Raw genomic sequence first — 18,108 nt, 5'->3', positions numbered from 1 at the left:
AGGTAAATGTTCTATCTCGATTGCCTGTAGCAGTGATTACATGAGTAGAAATGTTAATCAAACATCACAGGCCAGGCAAAGTGGCTTATGCCTGTAATCCCATTATTTTAGAGGCCAAGGCTGGGGGATTGCTAGAGCCCAGGAGTTCAAGACCAGCCTGGGCAACATAAGGAGACCCTGTCAGTACAAAAAAATGTTTTAAAAAATTAGCCAGGCATGGTCGTGTGTGCCTGTGGCCCCAGCTACTTAGGATTAGGTGGAAGGATTAATTAAGCCCAGAAGATCAAGACTGCAGTGAGCTGTGATCACACAACTGCACTCCAGCCTAGGAAACAGACCAATAACTTGCCTCAAACAACAACAACAAAAAGTGATAGAATTGTACATGCCTAAAAAGGTGTACCTCAATAAACAAAAAGGAGGGGATAAAATACTTAATAGGTTAAATAATCAGGCATATTTGATCACCAATATTTGAAAAACATAAGAAATATCAGTTATCAGAAATTACAGTATTATAAGCCCAGCAATAAGATATTGAAACAAACAAAAGAGCTCTTCGCACATACATCCAACAGAAGTTTTAAATGGACTCACTCCTTTCCTAATTCCTTTTTAAAATAATTTTAACTTTTATTTTAGATTCTGCGGGTACATGGGCAAGCTTGTTACATGAGTATACTGTGTGAGGTTTATGGTACAATTAATTATGTTACCCAAAGAGCAAGCATAGTACCCAATAGTTAGTTTTTCAACCTTGCCCCTTGCTGTACCATCCCCCTCCAGTAGTACCCAGTGTCTATTGTTGCCATGTATAACTCCCACTTAGAAGTGAGAACATGTGGTATTTAGCTTTCATTTTCTGTTAATTTGTCTAAAATTATGACCTTCAGCTGCATCCATGTTGCTGCAAAGAACATGATTTCACTTTTTTTATGGCTGCCTGGTATTTCATGGTGTATATGTACCCCATTTTCTTTATCCAGTCCGGCATTGATGGACACTTAAGTTTATTCCATGTTTTTGCTATTGTGAATAGTGCTGCAATGAACACACATGTGTCTTTTTGGTAGGATGATTTATTTTCTCTTGGATATATACCCACTAATGCGACTGCTGGGTTGAATAGTAGTTCTGTATTAAGTTCTTTCAGACATCTCCTAACTGCTTTCCACAGTGGCTGGACTAATTTACATTCCCACCAAAGGTGTACAAGCATTCCCTTTTCTCCACAAGCTCATCAACATCTGTTGATTTTTACTTTTTAATAATAGCCATTCTGATGGGTATGAGATGGTATCTCATTGTGGTTTTGATGTGCATTTTCGTGGTGATTAGTGATGAGCATTTTTTCATGTTTGTTGGCTGCTTGTATGTATTCTTTTGAGAAGTGTCTATTCATGTCCTTTTCTCATTTTTTAATGAGGTTATTAGCTTTTCGTTGGTTGAATTAAGTTTCTTATAGATTCTGGATATTAGACCTTTGTTAGATGCATAGTTTGTGAATATTTTCTACAATATGTAGGTTGCCTCTTTACTCTGTTGGTAGTTTCTTTTGCTGTGCAAAAGATCTTTAGTTTAATTGGATCCCATTTGTCAATTTTTCTTTTTATTGCGGTTGCTTTTGAGGATGTAGTCATAAATTCTTTCCCAAGGGTGATTTCCAAAATGGTGCTTCCTATGTTTTATTTAGGATTCTTAGAGTTTAAGGTCTTACATTTAAATCAATCTTGAGTTAATTTTTGTACATGATGAAAAGTAGGGGTCCAGGTTTATTCTTCTGCATATGGATAGCAAGTATCTCAGCACCATTTATTGACTAGAAAGTCCTCTCTCCATTGCTTATTTTTGTTGACTTTGTCAAGAGCAGGTGGCTGTAGTTGTGCAGCTTTATTTCTGCGTTCTCGGCCCCATTGGTCTATGTTTCTGTTTTTGTACCAGTGCCATACTGTTTTGGTTAATGTAGCCTTACAGTATAGTTTGAAGTCAGGTGATGCAATGCTTTAAGCTTTGTTCTTTTTGCTTAGGATTATTTTGGCTATTTGGACTTTTTGTTGTGTTGTTCCATATGGATTTTAGAATAGTCTTTTTTTAATTCTGGGAAAAAGAATGTTGGTCGTTTGATAGAAATAGCATTGAATCTATAGACCACTTTAGGCAGTATGGCCATTTTAATGATATTGATTCTTCCAATCTATGAGCATTGAAGATTATTCCATTCGTTTTTGTCATCTGTTGTTTTTTTATTTATTTTTTTGCAGTATTTTGTAGTTCTTCTGTAGAAGTCTTTTACCTCCTTGCTTGAATGTATTCCTAGGTATTTTATTTATTTTTGGCTATTGTAAATAGGATTGCATTCTTGATTTGGTTCTCAGCTTGAACTTTATTGGTATTTACAAATTCTACTGAATTTTTTACATTGATTTTGTGTCCTGAAAGTTTACTGAAGTCTTTTATCAGTTCCAAGAGTCTTTTATTGAAATCTTTAGGGTATTCCTGGGATAAAATTATATCATCAGCGAAGAGAGAGAGTTTGACTTCTTTTCCTATTTGGTTGCCTTTTATTTCTTTCTCTTGTCTGATTACTCTGGCTACAACTTACAATATTATCTTTAATAGGACTGGTGAGAGTGGGCATCCTTGTCTTGTTCCCCTTCTCAAGGGGAATGCTTCTAGCTTATGCCCACTTAGTATGATGTTGGCTGTGGGTTTGTCATAGAAGGCTTTTATTATTTTGAGGTATGTTCCTTTAATAACTAGTTTGTTGAGGGTCATTATTATGAAGGGATGTTGAAATTTACTGAAATCTTTTTCCACCTGTATTGAGATGATATGGTTTTTGTTTTTAATTCTGTTTATGTGAATCACATTTATTGATTTTCGTATTATTTGCATGGGTTTGCATATGTGGAACCAACTTTGCATCCCAGGAATAAAACCTACTTGATCGTGGTGGTTTAGCTTTTTGCTGTGCTGCTGGATTCAGTTTGCTAGCATTTGGTGGAGAATTTTTGCATCTGTGTTCATCAGGGATATTGGCCTGAAGTTTACTTTCTTCATTGTGTCTCTGCCAGGTTTTGGTAGCAGGATGATGCTGGCCTCATAGAATGAGTTAGGGAGGAGTCTCTTCTTGAAATCTTGGAATAATTCCAGTAGAATTGTGCTAGTTGTGTTTTATATGTCTGGTAGAATTCAGCTGTGAATTCTTCTCCAGGGCTATTTCTGGTTGGTAGGATTGTATTACTGATTCAGTTCTGAAACTCATTATTGGTCTGTTCAGGATTTCATTTTATTCCTGGTTCACTCTTGGGAGGTTGTATGTTTCCAAGAATTTATCCATTTCCTTTAGATTTTCTAGTTTTTGTTCATGGAGGTGTTCATAATGGTTTCTGGAGAGCTTTTGCATTTCTGTGGGATATGTTGTAATAGCACTTTTTTAGTTTCTTATTTGGATCTTCACTCTTTTTCTTTTTTATTCTAGCTAGTGGTTTATTGATCTTATTTATCCCTTCAAATAACCAAGTTTTGGTTTTGTTGATTCTTTGTGTGGATTTTGGGTTATCAATGTCATTCACTTCTGATCTTTAGTTATTTTTTTCTTCTTTTAGCTTTGGGGATAGTTTATTCTCATTTTTCTAGTTTTTCTTGGTGTGATATTAGGTCATTAACTTTAGATCTTTATAATATTTGATGTAGGACTTTAGTACTGTAAACTTTCCTCTTACCGCTGCTTTTGCAGCATCCCAGAGATTTTGGTATGTTGTGTCTCAGCTTTTATTTATTTCAAAGAATTTTTTTATTTCTGCCTTAATTTCATTATTCAACCAAAAGTCATTCAGGAGTGACTTGTTTAATTTCCATGTAATTGTGTGGTCTTGAGAGTTCGTCTTGGTATTGGTTTCTTTTTTTATCTCACTGTGGTCCAAGAGTATAGTTAGTATGATTTTGATTTTTAAAAATGTATTTAGACTTGTTTTGTGGCCAAGTGTGTGGCCAATCTTGGAGTATGTTCCATGTGCAGATGAGAAGAATGTATATTCTGTGGTTGATGAGTGGATTATTCTGTAGATGTCTATTAGATCCAGCTTGTCAAGTGTCAAATTTATGTCCAGAATTTACTTGATACTATTCTGCCTCAATGATCTATCTAATGCTGTCAGTGGTGTGTTGAAATCCTACCTATTATTCTGCAGATGTCTAAGTATTTTCACAGGTCTAGAAGTGCATGTTTTATGAATCTGGGTGCTCCAATGCTGAGTGCATATATATTTAGGATAGTTAGCATATATATTGAGGATAGTTAAGTCTTCTGGTTGAATTGAACCTTTATCATTACGTAATGCCCTTCTTTTTTTTTTGGTTTTTGTTGTCGTTTTTATTGTTGTTGGTTTAAAGTCTGTTTTATCTGATATAAGAATAGCAATTCCTTTTCCTTTTTGTTTTCCATTTGCATGACAGATCTTTCTCCAACTCTTTGATTGAGCCTATGGGGGTCATTACATGTGAAAGATGCCCTTCAAGACTGCAGATGGTATATTATTTTTGGGTGTAGCTATTGTCAATGGGATTGTGTTTTTGATTTGGCTCTTAGCTTCAATGTTATTTGTGTTTAGAAATGCTACTGCTTTTTGTACATTGATTTTTTATCCTGATGGGTCTTTTTTTTTAACCCAACTTGGAATTCTGTGCATTTTACGTGAGGCATTTAGAGCATTTACATTTATGGTTGATATAGATACATGAGGTTTTGATCCTGTCATAAAGTTGTTAGCTGGTTATTTTCTAGTTTCCATGTGTGGTTGTTGTATAGGGTCTGTGTGCCATATATTTTGGTGTGTCTTTGTGATAGCAGGTATAGTTCTCTCATTTCTGTTTATAAAACTCCCTTAGGATTTTTATTAGGCCATTATTGTGTTGCCACAAAGGAATACCTGAGGCTGGGTAATTTATAAAGAAAACAGGTTTACTACAGAATGGGAAAAAATATTTGCAAACTGTGCATCTGACAAAGGTCTAATATCCAGCATCTGGAAGGAACTTAAACAAATTCACAAGAAAAAAACAACCCCATTAAAAGTGAGCAAAAGATATGAACAGACGCTTTTCAAAAGAAGACGTGTGGCCAAAAAGCATATGAAAAAAAGCTCAGTATCATTGATCATTACAGAAATTCAAATCAAAACCACAATGAGATACCATCTCACACCAATTAGAATGGCTATTATTAAAAAGTCAACAAATAACAGATGCTGGCAAGGTTGTAGAGAAAAGGGAACACTTGTACACTGTTGGTGGGACTGTAAATTAGTTCAACCATTGTGGAAGACAGTGTGGCAATTCCTCAAAGTCCTAAAGACAGAAATGCCATTTGACCCAGCAATCCCACGACTGAGTGTATACCCAAAGGAATATAAATTATTCTGTTATAAAGACACATACCACACGTTTACTGCAGCACTATTCACATAGAAAAGACAGAATCAACCCAGGTGCCCATAAATAGTTGTCTGGATAAAGAAAATGGCGTACGTATACACCATGGAATACTAGGCAGCCATAAAAAGAATGAAATCGGCTGAGCGCAGTGGCTCATGCCTGTAATCCCAGCACTATGGGAGGCCAAGGTGGGCAGGCAGATCACGAGGGTCAGGAGATTGAGACCACCCTGGCTAACACGGTGAAACCCTGTCCTTACTTAAAAAAAAAAAAAAATTAGCCAGGCGTGGTAGCTGGCACCTGTAGTCCCAGCTACTAGGGAGGCTGAGGCAGGAGAATGGCGTGAACCCGTGAGGCAGAGCTTGCAGGGAGCCGAGATCGTGCCACTGCACCGCACTCCAGCCTGAGCGACAGAGCAAGACTCCGTCTCAAAAAAAAAAAAAAAGAATGAAATCATATCCTTTACAGCAACGTGGATGCAGTTGGAGGCCATTATCCTTCACAAATTGATGCAGGAATAGAAAACCAAATACTGCATGCTCTCACTTAAAAGTGGGAGCTTAATGAGGAGAACTTATGAACATAAAGAGGCAACAACAGACTGGGACCTGCTCGAGGGCGGAGGATGGGAGGAGGGAGAGGAGCAGAAAAAATATCCATTGGATACTAGGCCTGGTACCTTGGTGATGAAATAACCTGTACAACAAACCCATATGACATGAGTTTACCTATATAACAAACCTGCACATGTACCCCTGAATCTAAAATGAAAGTTTTAAAAGAAGGATTTTTAATGGGATTATTATTCTGCAGGATGTATAGGAAGCATGACACCAGCATCTGCTCAGCTTCTGAGGAGGCCTCAGGGAACTTTTACTCATGGGAGAAGGTGAAGTGGGAATAGGAATGTCACACAGCCAGAGTAGGAGCCAGAGACAGAAGGGAGGTGCTACACACTTTTAAGCAACCAGATCTTGCAAGAACTCACTTGCTACTGCAAGAACAGCCCCAAGCCATGGGGAATCTACCTCCATAACCCACACATCTCCCACCAGGCCCCATCTCCAACATTGGTGACTATATTTTAACATGAGATTTGCAGAAACAAATATCTGAACTATACCGAGATCTCTTATAATGTTACTCTTATGGTAACAAATTCACTTAGCACTTGCTTGTCTGGCAAATACTTTACTTCTCTGTTGCTTTTGAAGCTTGGTTGGGCAGGATATTAAATTCTTGGTTGGAATTTATTTTCTTTAGGAATAGGCACCCAGTCTCTCCTGGCTTATAAGGTTTCTGGTGAGAAATCCACCATTAGCCTGATTAAGTTTCCTTTGTACGTAATGTGGCCTTTTTCTCTAGCTGCCTAAAGATTTTTTTCTTTAGCATTGACCATAAACAGTCTGATGACTGTATGCCTTGGTGATGTTTGTTTTGTATAGTATCTTACAGGTGTTCTCTAGGTTTCTTGTATCTAAATGTCGTCTACCTCTCTAGCAAGATCAGTGAAATTTTCTTGAATTATTTCCTGAAATATGTTTTCCACGTTGCTTACTTCTTCTCTTTCTCAGCAATACCAATAATTTATATATTTGGTCACTTTAAATAATCCCATATTTCTCTGAGACTTTGTTCATTAAAAATATGTATATTTTATTCTGACTGGGTTAATTTGAAAAGCCAGTCTTCGTGCCCTGAAATTCTTTCTTCTGATTGTTTTAGTCTGTTGATAAAGCTTTCAATTGTATTTTAAAATTCCTTAAGTGAGTTTTTTAATTCCAGAAGAACTGAATGATTCTTTTAAAGATATTTATCTTCTTTTTAATTTTCCAGATTGCTTTAGAAGTTTCTTTGTGTAGATTTTTAACTTTGTCTTGTACCTCAGTTAGCTTCCTTGAAATACATGCTTCGAATTCTTTATCTGTCATTTCTGAATTTCCATTTTGGTTAGGGATCATTGCTGGAGGGCTAATAGGAGCGTTTGGTGGTGTCACTACATTCAGATTTTTCATAGTGTCAGAAAATTTGCACTGATTCCTACTCATCTGAAGACACTGGCACTTCTAATTATTTTAAATTATTTTTATGAAAGTAAGATGTTTTCTTTTTCTGTATTTCCCTACAATGTTATTAATATATTTTTTTCTCTTCTCTTTCTTATTGGAACATCATTAAATGATAGAACCAGCTTTAGAGAGAAATCTTGGAGAGGGGAGGAGCTGGCCTAGAGAGAGATTTCTGGGAAAGGAGAGATTCTTGGAGAGGGTAGGAGCTGGGCTAGAGAGATTCCTGGGAGCATTTGGTCTCCCAGGAATCTGGTGAGAGGGAGTAGAATCCACCAATTTCTAATAATCATCTACATTTTTTTTCAGAAATTTCAGTCGTTTATAATTTGTCCTAGGGTTTATAGATATGCCTACTTTTTATCTCCAGGCTCCTTTACTTTGACTTCCTCTATAACAATGAATCCACCTAGCACTGCATGTAGGGGTAGACATATACCAATGAATATATTTCAGTCACATTTTTTATTTTATGAAGTATTTGTACTATTATATATTGCACACTCCTGTAGGCAAGTCAGGCAGTTATTACTATTTCAAATATTCTGTACTATCAAATAGGCTATTTTAAAATTCCATTTCTTAATTTCTGAAGTGACACTCTGAAGTAACAAGTTCTACACATTTATGAAAAAACAATACTAATTCTTTTACATTTAATGGTGAATATGGCATTAAATGGCTTCATAATAGGGTTGGCTGTTTTAAAAATGACTCAAAATAAGCATAAACACAACAAACAAGTCATAAGCTATAGAATAACGAGATGGCTCAGACTAAAATAGCCATAATGAGCAATAGTGACATCTTGGGGTAGGATAAGAATCGTCTATTTGTGTGTACTTTTTCTTTGTGCATAACTTTATTTATAAATATACGTTGAAAGTTGTTAAGCTTAGAAACATTGGCATTCTCATTTAACAGATGAAATAAAGTAGGATTTAAAAGAAGGGTCATTTGCCCAGCATAACATTGCTGAGATGTGGAAAGACTTGAGACTCAGATTGAGTCCTCCTCTTTATTGTTCTCCTTCCATAACTTCAGTATCATTTTCTTAATGCAGGCACAGGTCTGCCTTGCACTAGATTTCTCCTGATAATACATGTATCCAGAGTTTTAAGAGAAGGCCAAAGGGAGAGAAACTCAAGGTCAATAATATCTACTATATCTCAACTAGGGAAAGAATTTCTTCAGGTCTTGGAGTCCTGTTATCTAGGAATATAAGCTACCTACTCTGGGGACCAAGGTACAGCTATTATGCAGATAATACTCTGCTTCTCCAAACATCTCTTTTCACATTCAGCCTTCTGCATAGGGGACCTCTTGTGAGTGTTTTATCCACTACAAGTTTTCCAATGGAATCAATCATCCTATCACATAGCTTAATAAAAAAAAAAATCTTGACAGGAAACATGTTCCAGGTTAGGAACAATCTTAATTTTAGTTTTAAAATAGAAAGTGAGGACTTTATTATCTCTGCTCAGGACCTTTAAGGCTCCTCATATTTTAAATTGCATTTTGAAGCAGTTAATGTATCATGAGCACCTTCTTTCTTTTAAATCCCCATAGCAATCCTATATAGTTGTAAAAATGAAGAAATTAGAGGTTCAAATATGTTAGGTAATATGCTTCAAGCCATAAACGTGGTAGTTTATGGAATAACTGTTTGTTTCTGCGTCTGTCTGATCCTCAAGCCTTTGCCCAATCTAATATGAAATTTTAGAAGCTGATAATTTTATTTTCTTTAAAACAATATAGTTTTATGACCACCATAATACCAGTATTCTAATATAAGATACAGTTAACTTGCATATATAAAATGATTAATATCTAATGAGCATCTACTGTATTATTACACTTTGTGCTAAATATGTTAAAATATGGTTATACTTAAAATACACTCAAACTCTGAGAGGTGGGTACTATTACCCCTCTTTTAAAGATAAGAAAACTGAGACTGAAAATGGTTTAATGACTTTCCCAATGTTATCCAACATACCAGGTAATGCTGAAGCTGAGATTCAAATCCGGGTGTGTAAATTCCAAAGCCAATGTTTTACATAGTGAGATGCACATGGTCTTTGGAATCCAACAGATCTATTTTTGAATCTCAAGTGTCCCCAAAAGTAAGCCATTGATACTTTTCATTTCTACTTTGTTTATGATTATTTATGAAAATATTTTATTTCCCATACTATAAGCATCTTGACTATAAGCAAGACTATAACGACTATAAACATCTTAAAGCATGGGCTATTTCTATTTAACCATCTTTCCTCCCCTACTAATTACCCTAAACAATAAACGTAGTGTCTACTTTGTAGGGATTTTAAAAAGTGAATGATTAAATACAATGAAAGCACTGAAGTAATGAATGATTTGAAACTGAATGTGAGACAGGTCTGATCCAGTAAGTCGGTTAATTTCTTCATCCACGTATTTGTTTAACAATTATTTACTGATGAGCTGTTATGTTCTCCACATTATGCCAGTTGCTGAACTGATATTCTGTTTGTACATAACAAAGTGGTGTTCTAAGCAGCATCCATTCTAATTGATTTGTCACTGTGCTAGGCCAGTTGCTAACAATTTTGAATATTATCCCTGAGCGATGATAAGAAAAAAGAAGACATGGTCACTGTACTCATGAAAATTTCAAATAGATGTAAAATTACTCATACTATAATAGGAAGAAAGGTACACAGTGTTATGACACCTCATCTACTCCACATAGAAATGCACCTTGGATGGAAAGGGAAGAGAAAATTTCAATCAGTTCCTATATCATAGAAATTATCTTTGCACTTGTGAAGGCTAAAATGACACTACAATTTGATAGGGATCAGTGGTCTCCTGTAAATACCATTCAACTGTTCATCTCCACAATGTTCCTTCCCCCTCTGGTGGATGTGTCAGTAATAAGTTAGGTGATGCAAAGGCCGCTACGGAAGGAGTATTGCACTTCATTAAATGTCTGTTTAAGCGAACTGAAGGTATTATGGGAATGTAAGTGAACTGAAGGTATTGTGGGAATACTTGTTTGTGTGCTTTCAGAGAGTGTACAGATTACTTTATGAATGAATACCGTCTTGTGGGTTAAAGTTTGGGAAAACAGCATCAAGAAAAGGTGATGCTGATATAATAGAATTAAATTGTTTTACTAGTGAGGGCAAGCAGGAAAAGGTAGAATTTATCCAGATAAATAATTTTGATTGCTATAAAAAAAACTTACACCAAAATGAAGTGACCTAGAATGCTGAACACCTTATTTATGTAAATTACTTTTATGTTTTTTAACTTCATTTATTTTTCAGTAGTAGGATAAAGAATGGGTTGCTTAAATATTTTTAAATTAGCTGAGTATGACAAAATAATTTTTATACCTTTCTGATAACAGCAAGGAAGTTGTATATCTGTTCTGGCTCAAGTATGTGTGATATTTTCCTCAGAAACCTTAAAATTACTCAACAGTAGATCCTAAAAAATGATATTTTTCAGTAGTTTGTCCAATTTCTATGTGACAGGACATGATCCAGGATTTTGAGAAGGCAGTGTTTGGTTGAGGGGAGACCGTATTCTTGTGAAGAATTCTGGGAGGCTGAGTCAGTACTATCAGATGTCTAATTATCCAGGAGAACTTTCTTAATCTACTACAAATGTAGCACGTTGCTTATGTCATTAGTAGTTTGTCCCTGTGCTCAGCCTGCTAAGACAAAAAGGGACATGAGTTTTCAGGGAGGAATTTGATGCAGGTGTAGAAACAGGGACTATATAATTCAACCTGGCATACATTTACTGAACACATTTAAGTAGAAAGTACAGTCTGTTCTAGGCATTATGGAGGATCCAAAAACCTAGTGGTCAAGTTTGTTGCCTATTAGAAGCTTAAAATCCCCTTGAGGTACTTTATATGAATCCAGTTTAAATTTATACTAAAAGGTAATATACAATAAATAATATGAAAGGTACAAAATACTCTGGAAGTTTAGGAAAGAAGGCATCACTTTCTGCCATTGGACATGCAAATATAACCATCTTCTTATTTCCTCTCTTAAAGTTCCTTTGTTTTCTCCAGCACCTATTGGGTCAAATCTAAGCTGCTTAGCATTACACACATTCATCCTCCATGAACTGAACCTGCCTACATTTCCCCTTTCATCTTTACTTACCAGTAACAATAAGCTGCTTGTAGCACCTTCTCTTTCCTTTGCTACCCGTTACTCCCAGAATGCCAAACTAAGCACAGTGTCTACAATGTAGCCAATGTTCAAAATATAATTTTTGAATAAATTAATGAATACCCATACTATTCTGCTTCATAACCTCATGCCATATATGCATATATATACCATATATATGCTCTTCTATTTGTGTAGAATATCTTTCTTTACCTGATTAAAATCTATGAACTCATTCTTCAAGACTTACCTGCTTTAACTTCCAAACTCAGTTTCTTTCTCTTTAGAATGGAGATACTAACAGTGTCTTCTTGATAGGACTGTTGTGAGGATTCAATTAGCCATTTTTTATTATAAAGTGCTTAGAACAGTGCTTGGCAGAAAATGAGCACTATGTAAATGTTAACTATCATTGTTAGGTGCGTCAAAATATTGACTAGAACAACTGCAGAACTCTATAGAGGGCAGTCATTGAAGTCTTTATACAAGTGGAAACATCTGAAATGGAAGAATAAGTACTTATTTGACAAGTAGAGTCATAGGTAAGCTACAGAAAGAGAGTAACTATAGGGGAAAATTAGAGTCAGGTAGGGTATAGCACTGGGACATTTGGCCACCTGCCTCCAGCTGCCACACACTATCAAGAGTCAAGTGCTAGAACATGTTTTGGAAAGCATTCTTCCTGCAAGTGTAATTCCCATCTCTTTTACTGTCTCACAGTATCTCTAGTGGGAGCCAATAAAATGGTGAGATAAAAGGAAATTGCAGGTTTGTAATGTTGACTGAAGGGGGCATAAACTGCAAGCTCTCTAGGTAGACTCTGTACTAATTGTAAGCCAGGAAAATTTTATAATAAATGCATCTAAATAATATCTATGGTAGAATATTATGGAATAAAGTAAAAATCTCCCCTGGCTTTTGCTGATGTAGCCCCTCACCCCAACAAACACAGTTTCTTAAATTCCTTAAGGAATTTTGAAGGAGGTAAATTATAGAGGTATATATCTCACACAATATATGTGAAACATTTTATAGATCAGTTAATACTCTTACATTGAATTCCACTATAAAATTAATGGCATTTAAAAAAAGTTATTCTGAATAAGTGGAATGACTACTGTATACCTGGCACTCATCTGAATGTTTGTGTATCCTCTTTCTTCTCCTGAGGGAGGAGCCAATTGAGAAGTTGGGGTAAGTAGAGAGCAGTGGCATGTCAGGGGACACTTTGTGTTTATGTGACCCCAGATAGAAAAAATGAGAAACTGTGTCTAGGAGAAGATGCTGATGGTAACGCCAGAATTGTGTTATGTTCAAACCAGAGCATCAATCAGAGGGGTTGGGCAGAGAATGTGATCATTGAAATATGGATCCAAATGAGGGTGAGAGATGAAGGAAACAGCAATACCAAGACTAAGAAGCAAATGGATAGGTAAATGGAAGCTGATTAAACTCAAGAGATGGAATGTGAGTATCAGTGAGGACTTACGATACACTTCCAGCCTGATTAGCATGAAGAGTCCGGTTTATGTCAAGGAATAGAAAGAGGCAGGCCCTGTTGAGAGTGAAGAAATGAAACCATCACTGCCCTTGAGAAGGCTCTAGTCATGTAAACCAACTATTAATAATTAGAATATAGTGTGATTACCTTTCAAAATGCTGTCGAGCTCCTATGTTAGAGTTGGCACTTGCTAGTGTGGAAATGTGGCAGTGAATAGACAGATACGGACTCTGTCCTGAAAGTTGCATAGGAGTTAGCCAAATAAATTGGTCAAATAATGGTGTGGGCACAAGTCATAATGGGGAGAATATTCTGCAGAGTGAATGGCATGTCTATGAGGGCCTTGGGCAAGGAGAATTGTTATAAAATATTTTTTTTTCAATTTGGATATTAAGTTGAACATTTTCTTTAAGAAACCTTCCATGCATCTGTGTCTTGGTTAGATTTCACCCTGCCTCCTCCCATAGGATTATGTATTTCTCCCAACATAGCCCTTAGTATGCTTTATTGAAATTACTCACTTACTCTTAGATCCTCACTGTGAATGCTGTGTTGGAAGGAACAATCCTCATCTCTGTCTTGTATCTCAAGCACCTACTTCTCTGACTGGTACATGGACATTCAATAAATATTAGTTAAATGAATACATGAATGACTAAATGAATGGACACAGGATCTCCAATGTGAAATTTCTTTTGGAAGGTAGTGCCAGGGTAGTGGAAAAGAAGTAGAAGAGAGAAAAAGGGAAATCCTTGCCTCTCTATGCTTGTTGTAGTCAAATTTTGAAACAAAGCAAAAAACTATATTAACTGATATGAATAGTTTTCTTGCCTTTATCTCCCTCTGACCTGACCTAAGCTCCTATCCTTTGGGAGCTGCTTTAAATCCTCTTAGGAAAGAAAATACAGGAAGGAGATTATAATAAATTAAGTTGTCAACAACTACTGTACACAGATTCCGAGCATTGTATTAAGTTAACTAATAGAATAATTTTTTATTGAACGCCACCATCTAAGACCTTGTGCAAAGTACCATGAAGATAAAAGGAAATATATGAAGACTTAAGATGTCAAAAATTGTGTATTCTTAATATTTGAGGCATTCTTTTGGACAGTTGGCAAGTGTAATAAAAATGTTTAAATGAAATCTTTAGCAATTGCATTTTTATTTCTTACCTAAAATATGAAGGTTGCATATGATGAAGGCCCCACCTTGTTTTCAAATATGATGTTTCTATAAATGAAAATGAGTAATTAAAATAATATATATTTTTGGTTCAAAGTAACAAACCCAGCTATGTTTAGATCAAGCCAAAATACATTTTTTATATAAATATACATGTGAATGATGGGACTCAAGAATAGGATGGGCCCTCAGAAATGAAATGAAACCAAGGAATAAGAAAACATTTTTATAATTTTATTTAAGTGACCATCTGTATTATTTAGGGTTTTCTAGAGGGACAGAACGGATAAGATAGATGAATATATGAAGAGGAGTTTATTATAATTGACTCACACAATCACAAAGTAAAGTCCCAGAATAGGCCCTCTGCAAGCTGAGGAGCCAGGAAGCCAGTCTGTGTCCCAAAACCTCAAAAGTAGGGAAGCCAATAGCAGCCTTCAGTCTGTAGTAGAAGGCCTGAGAGCCCCTGGCAAACCACTGGTGTTAAGTTCAAGAGTCCAAAAGCTGAAGAACTTGGAGTCTGATGTTCAAGGTCAGGAAGCATTCAACATGGGAGAAAAATGGAGGCCAGAAGACTTAGTTAGTCTAGTCTTTCCATGTTCTTCTGCCTGCTTTTATTCTGGCCATGCTGGCAGCTGATTAGATTGTGCCCACCTAGAATGAGGGTGGGTCTGCCCTTCCCAGTCCACTGACACGAATGTTAATCTCCTTTGGCAACACCCTCACAGACACACCCAGGAACAGTACTTCAGGTCCTTCAATCCAATAAAGTTGACACTTGCTAGGCTGTCTGCCCTTTCAGAGATCCATTCAAAAGAAAGGGCAAAAAGTCCCCATAACCATTTAGCAAATTGGCTTCATTACCAAATGTTACAGGTTTACCAATAGTCTGGAGTAACCATTACACCATCACGGGTAAAAATGCATTGCTTCAATTCTAAAATCCCAAGAAAGAGAATCTGATTAGCCAGCTTGGTTTAGGTGTTACTTAGTTTGGGGTGGATACCTGCAACCCCAGTGTTACCAAGCTGTTTCAGCTTTCCCATTTTCAGACACCTTGTATGTTAATCAGCTCAATGGACCCTCTGCTTTTTCACAAGGGCAGAGGGCCATGTGACAGCTTTCTGTATCCTGAGCTCTTGCCCAGTGTCCCAGAAGAATCAGATCACACGTGGGTGCAAAGGATGAGTGCCAGGTTTTATTGAGTGGTGGAGGTGGGCTCTCAGCGAGATGGATGGGGAGCAGGAAGAGGGGGATGGAGTGGGAAGGTGGTCTTCCCCTGGAGTTGGGCCACGTAGCTGCCGGTCTCTGCTCCTGACTGTCGCCGGCCCAGTGTCCAGACATCCCTCCTCTCTTTCTCTACCACATCATTCCACCTTTGCTGGGGAACTGCCCTCTTCTAATCAGTATTTTCCTGTCTCCTGTTCATATTAGTATATACAGGACTGCAGAGAAAAACAAGTTATTGTCCCTGTAACCCAAATACTCATAATGTCACAGAAGAGGTGGTTAAAAATAATTTAAATACACAGTTAAAAGTATAGTCATGAAGGTGTGCACAGTGTTGTGGGGCCGCTGCTAACTCACTATGGAGAACGCTGCAGAAGCAGCACAGGTCATCACATCACAATTAGAAGCAGAGATTAAAGAGTTGATTGTGTCTGAAACACTTGTTTGCTAGGTTGTCTTTCTCTCCCCTAAGGAAAGGCAAACCCCAGACTATTGGTAAACCTGTAACATTTGGTAATGAAGCCAATTTACTAAATGGTTATGGGGACTTTTTGCCCTTTCTTTTGAATGGATCTCTGAAAGGGCAGACAGCCTAGCAAGTCCATTAGAAGACTCAGAAGGCTAAAGCCGAACCTTTATCAAAACAGTGAGTTTGCTTGGCAGCCCTGGATAGAGAACATCATTTACTAAGAGATTTATTACTAGAGAATTAAATCCTAGGAACAGGAATATGAAACTTAATATGAGCATGAGTGGACTGTGTTGGCTACTATTGATCTAAATCCTTTGGGAAGAGAAGAAATTGATGAGATGCCCAGGTTTCTAAACTAAAGCATGTTTTATAAAATGCTGCATTAGGATTCACAATTAATTTTAAAAGCTTACCAATGACAAAAGCTTACCAATGACAAAACCAATGATTCTTCCTTCGTGTAAAGAGTTCATTACATCATAAACGTACTGCACTCTAGGAGTACTTTAAATAGAAAATTATATGCTTGTTACAGGTGTAATTCCACCGATACCATAGTTACTACAAGACAATTTTGGAAAGTATTTATTAAAGATACCAGGATCCCTATGTATAAATTTTTTCAAGGGATAATTATTGTCTTTTCTGAACTTATAAGGAAAAAAAAAAGATCACTTCTTTCCAGAGAACCCAGTAGCATATGAAGACAAGTTTTTGTTGCAATGGAGAAAATGTCATCCATCATTATGCCTAACACTTTTGAAAAAAGGGATGGTGTTTTTATTAGGGCCACTTTTGCTTTGTGTAAACAAACTTTTATTTCATAAAAATAGGGTGGTCCATACTTCCCAATAACTACATTCAAAACATTTGTTTTTGGAATCAGTTGACTGAGTTTATAGCATTGTTTGATTTAAATGAAAGAAGATAGATTATCATAAACGCTCAAGCCTCACAATGAAGTATAGCTGTGCAGAAAACAGATGATGCTATGATATTATTATGATAATTATAATAGTATTTATCATCACTAGAGTGGTTCTGATTGAGAGGTTACCATAAGCTAACAGTTCCAGTGCAGGTAGGCCAATCTATTTTATGCTGCCTTAACATCCTGCATAGCTTTACACTCATCACAGTTATTCCATATCTTTCTTCCCCTTTAGCCTAATAGCTTCTCAAAGGCAGAGGCAATGAGAATTTTATTCACATCTATATCTCCAGGTGTTAGACTGGCATCTAGTGACAATGGTTACTTACTTTAGAATTAATAAGTTAGGGCTGAGTGCAGTGTCTCAAGCCTGTAATCCCAGCACTTCGGGAGGCCAAGGTGGGTAGATTGCTTGAGGCCAGGAGTTCAAGACCAGCCTGGACAACATGGCAAAGCCCCATCTCTACTAAAAATACAAAAATTAGCCAGGCATGGTGGTGCGTGCCTGTAGTTCCAGATACTCAGGAGGCTGAGGCATGAGAATCACTTGAATCCAGGAGGTGGAGGTTTCAGTGAGCTGAGATCCCACCACTGCACTCCAGCCTGGGTGACAGAGTGAAACTCTGTCTCAAAATAAATAAATAAACAGAAAGAATTAATAAATTAATTAATTGCTTGTGTATTTTGTAGAAAAGTAATCTTTACGAGCTTTTCAACTTAGTGAATCTACGTTACCTTCTATATAAAGAATAAAGATCTTCAACTCCTTGCCTATGAAATGTTAATATGTTCTTCTAGGTTCATAGGATTTATGTAATATTAATTTGAATCAGAACATGAAAACGTTTTGTAAACTAAATAGCATCTTTCAATATTATGGTCATTTATGGTATGATTTAAAATAATACAAATTTGAATCCCTGAGGTGGCCTAGGGGAGAAAACTATAGGGTAAGAAACAGAATGAATCAGTATCAGAAAACAGTGTTCAGAAGAGTAAAACAATGAGAAAATATAAAGGAATCAGTTCAACAAACTTTCTAAAGTACCTACCTGGTGCTTTTACTTGATGTAATATTTTATTTAATTATCATAACATTTAAATGATGC

The 18,108-nt window shown here is 36.5% G+C and overlaps 1 protein-coding gene and 1 long non-coding RNA gene across 28 annotated transcripts in view; one reads left to right on the top strand and one right to left on the bottom strand.

The window, feature by feature from the left end:
* DLG2 (discs large MAGUK scaffold protein 2) overlaps positions 1 to 18,108 on the top strand; it is a 2,173,362-nt gene that overhangs the window by 851,849 nt on the left and 1,303,405 nt on the right. The gene's annotated exons all lie outside the window — the stretch shown is intronic.
* Positions 1 to 18,108, bottom strand: part of LOC124902727 (uncharacterized) — an 80,292-nt gene that overhangs the window by 24,179 nt on the left and 38,005 nt on the right. For both annotated transcript variants that reach the window (NR_189147.1, NR_189146.1), the window contains exons 2-3: positions 14,357 to 14,414; positions 13,170 to 13,235 (exon numbers count right to left, since the gene is read on the bottom strand). This is a non-coding gene — a long non-coding RNA (uncharacterized LOC124902727). The remainder of the gene's footprint in view (positions 1 to 13,169; positions 13,236 to 14,356; positions 14,415 to 18,108) is intronic.

Source organism: Homo sapiens, chromosome 11 (assembly GCF_000001405.40).
Source record: "Homo sapiens chromosome 11, GRCh38.p14 Primary Assembly".
Classification (NCBI taxonomy): Eukaryota; Metazoa; Chordata; class Mammalia; order Primates; family Hominidae; genus Homo; species Homo sapiens.
This window is presented reverse-complemented; position numbering and strand designations above follow the sequence as displayed.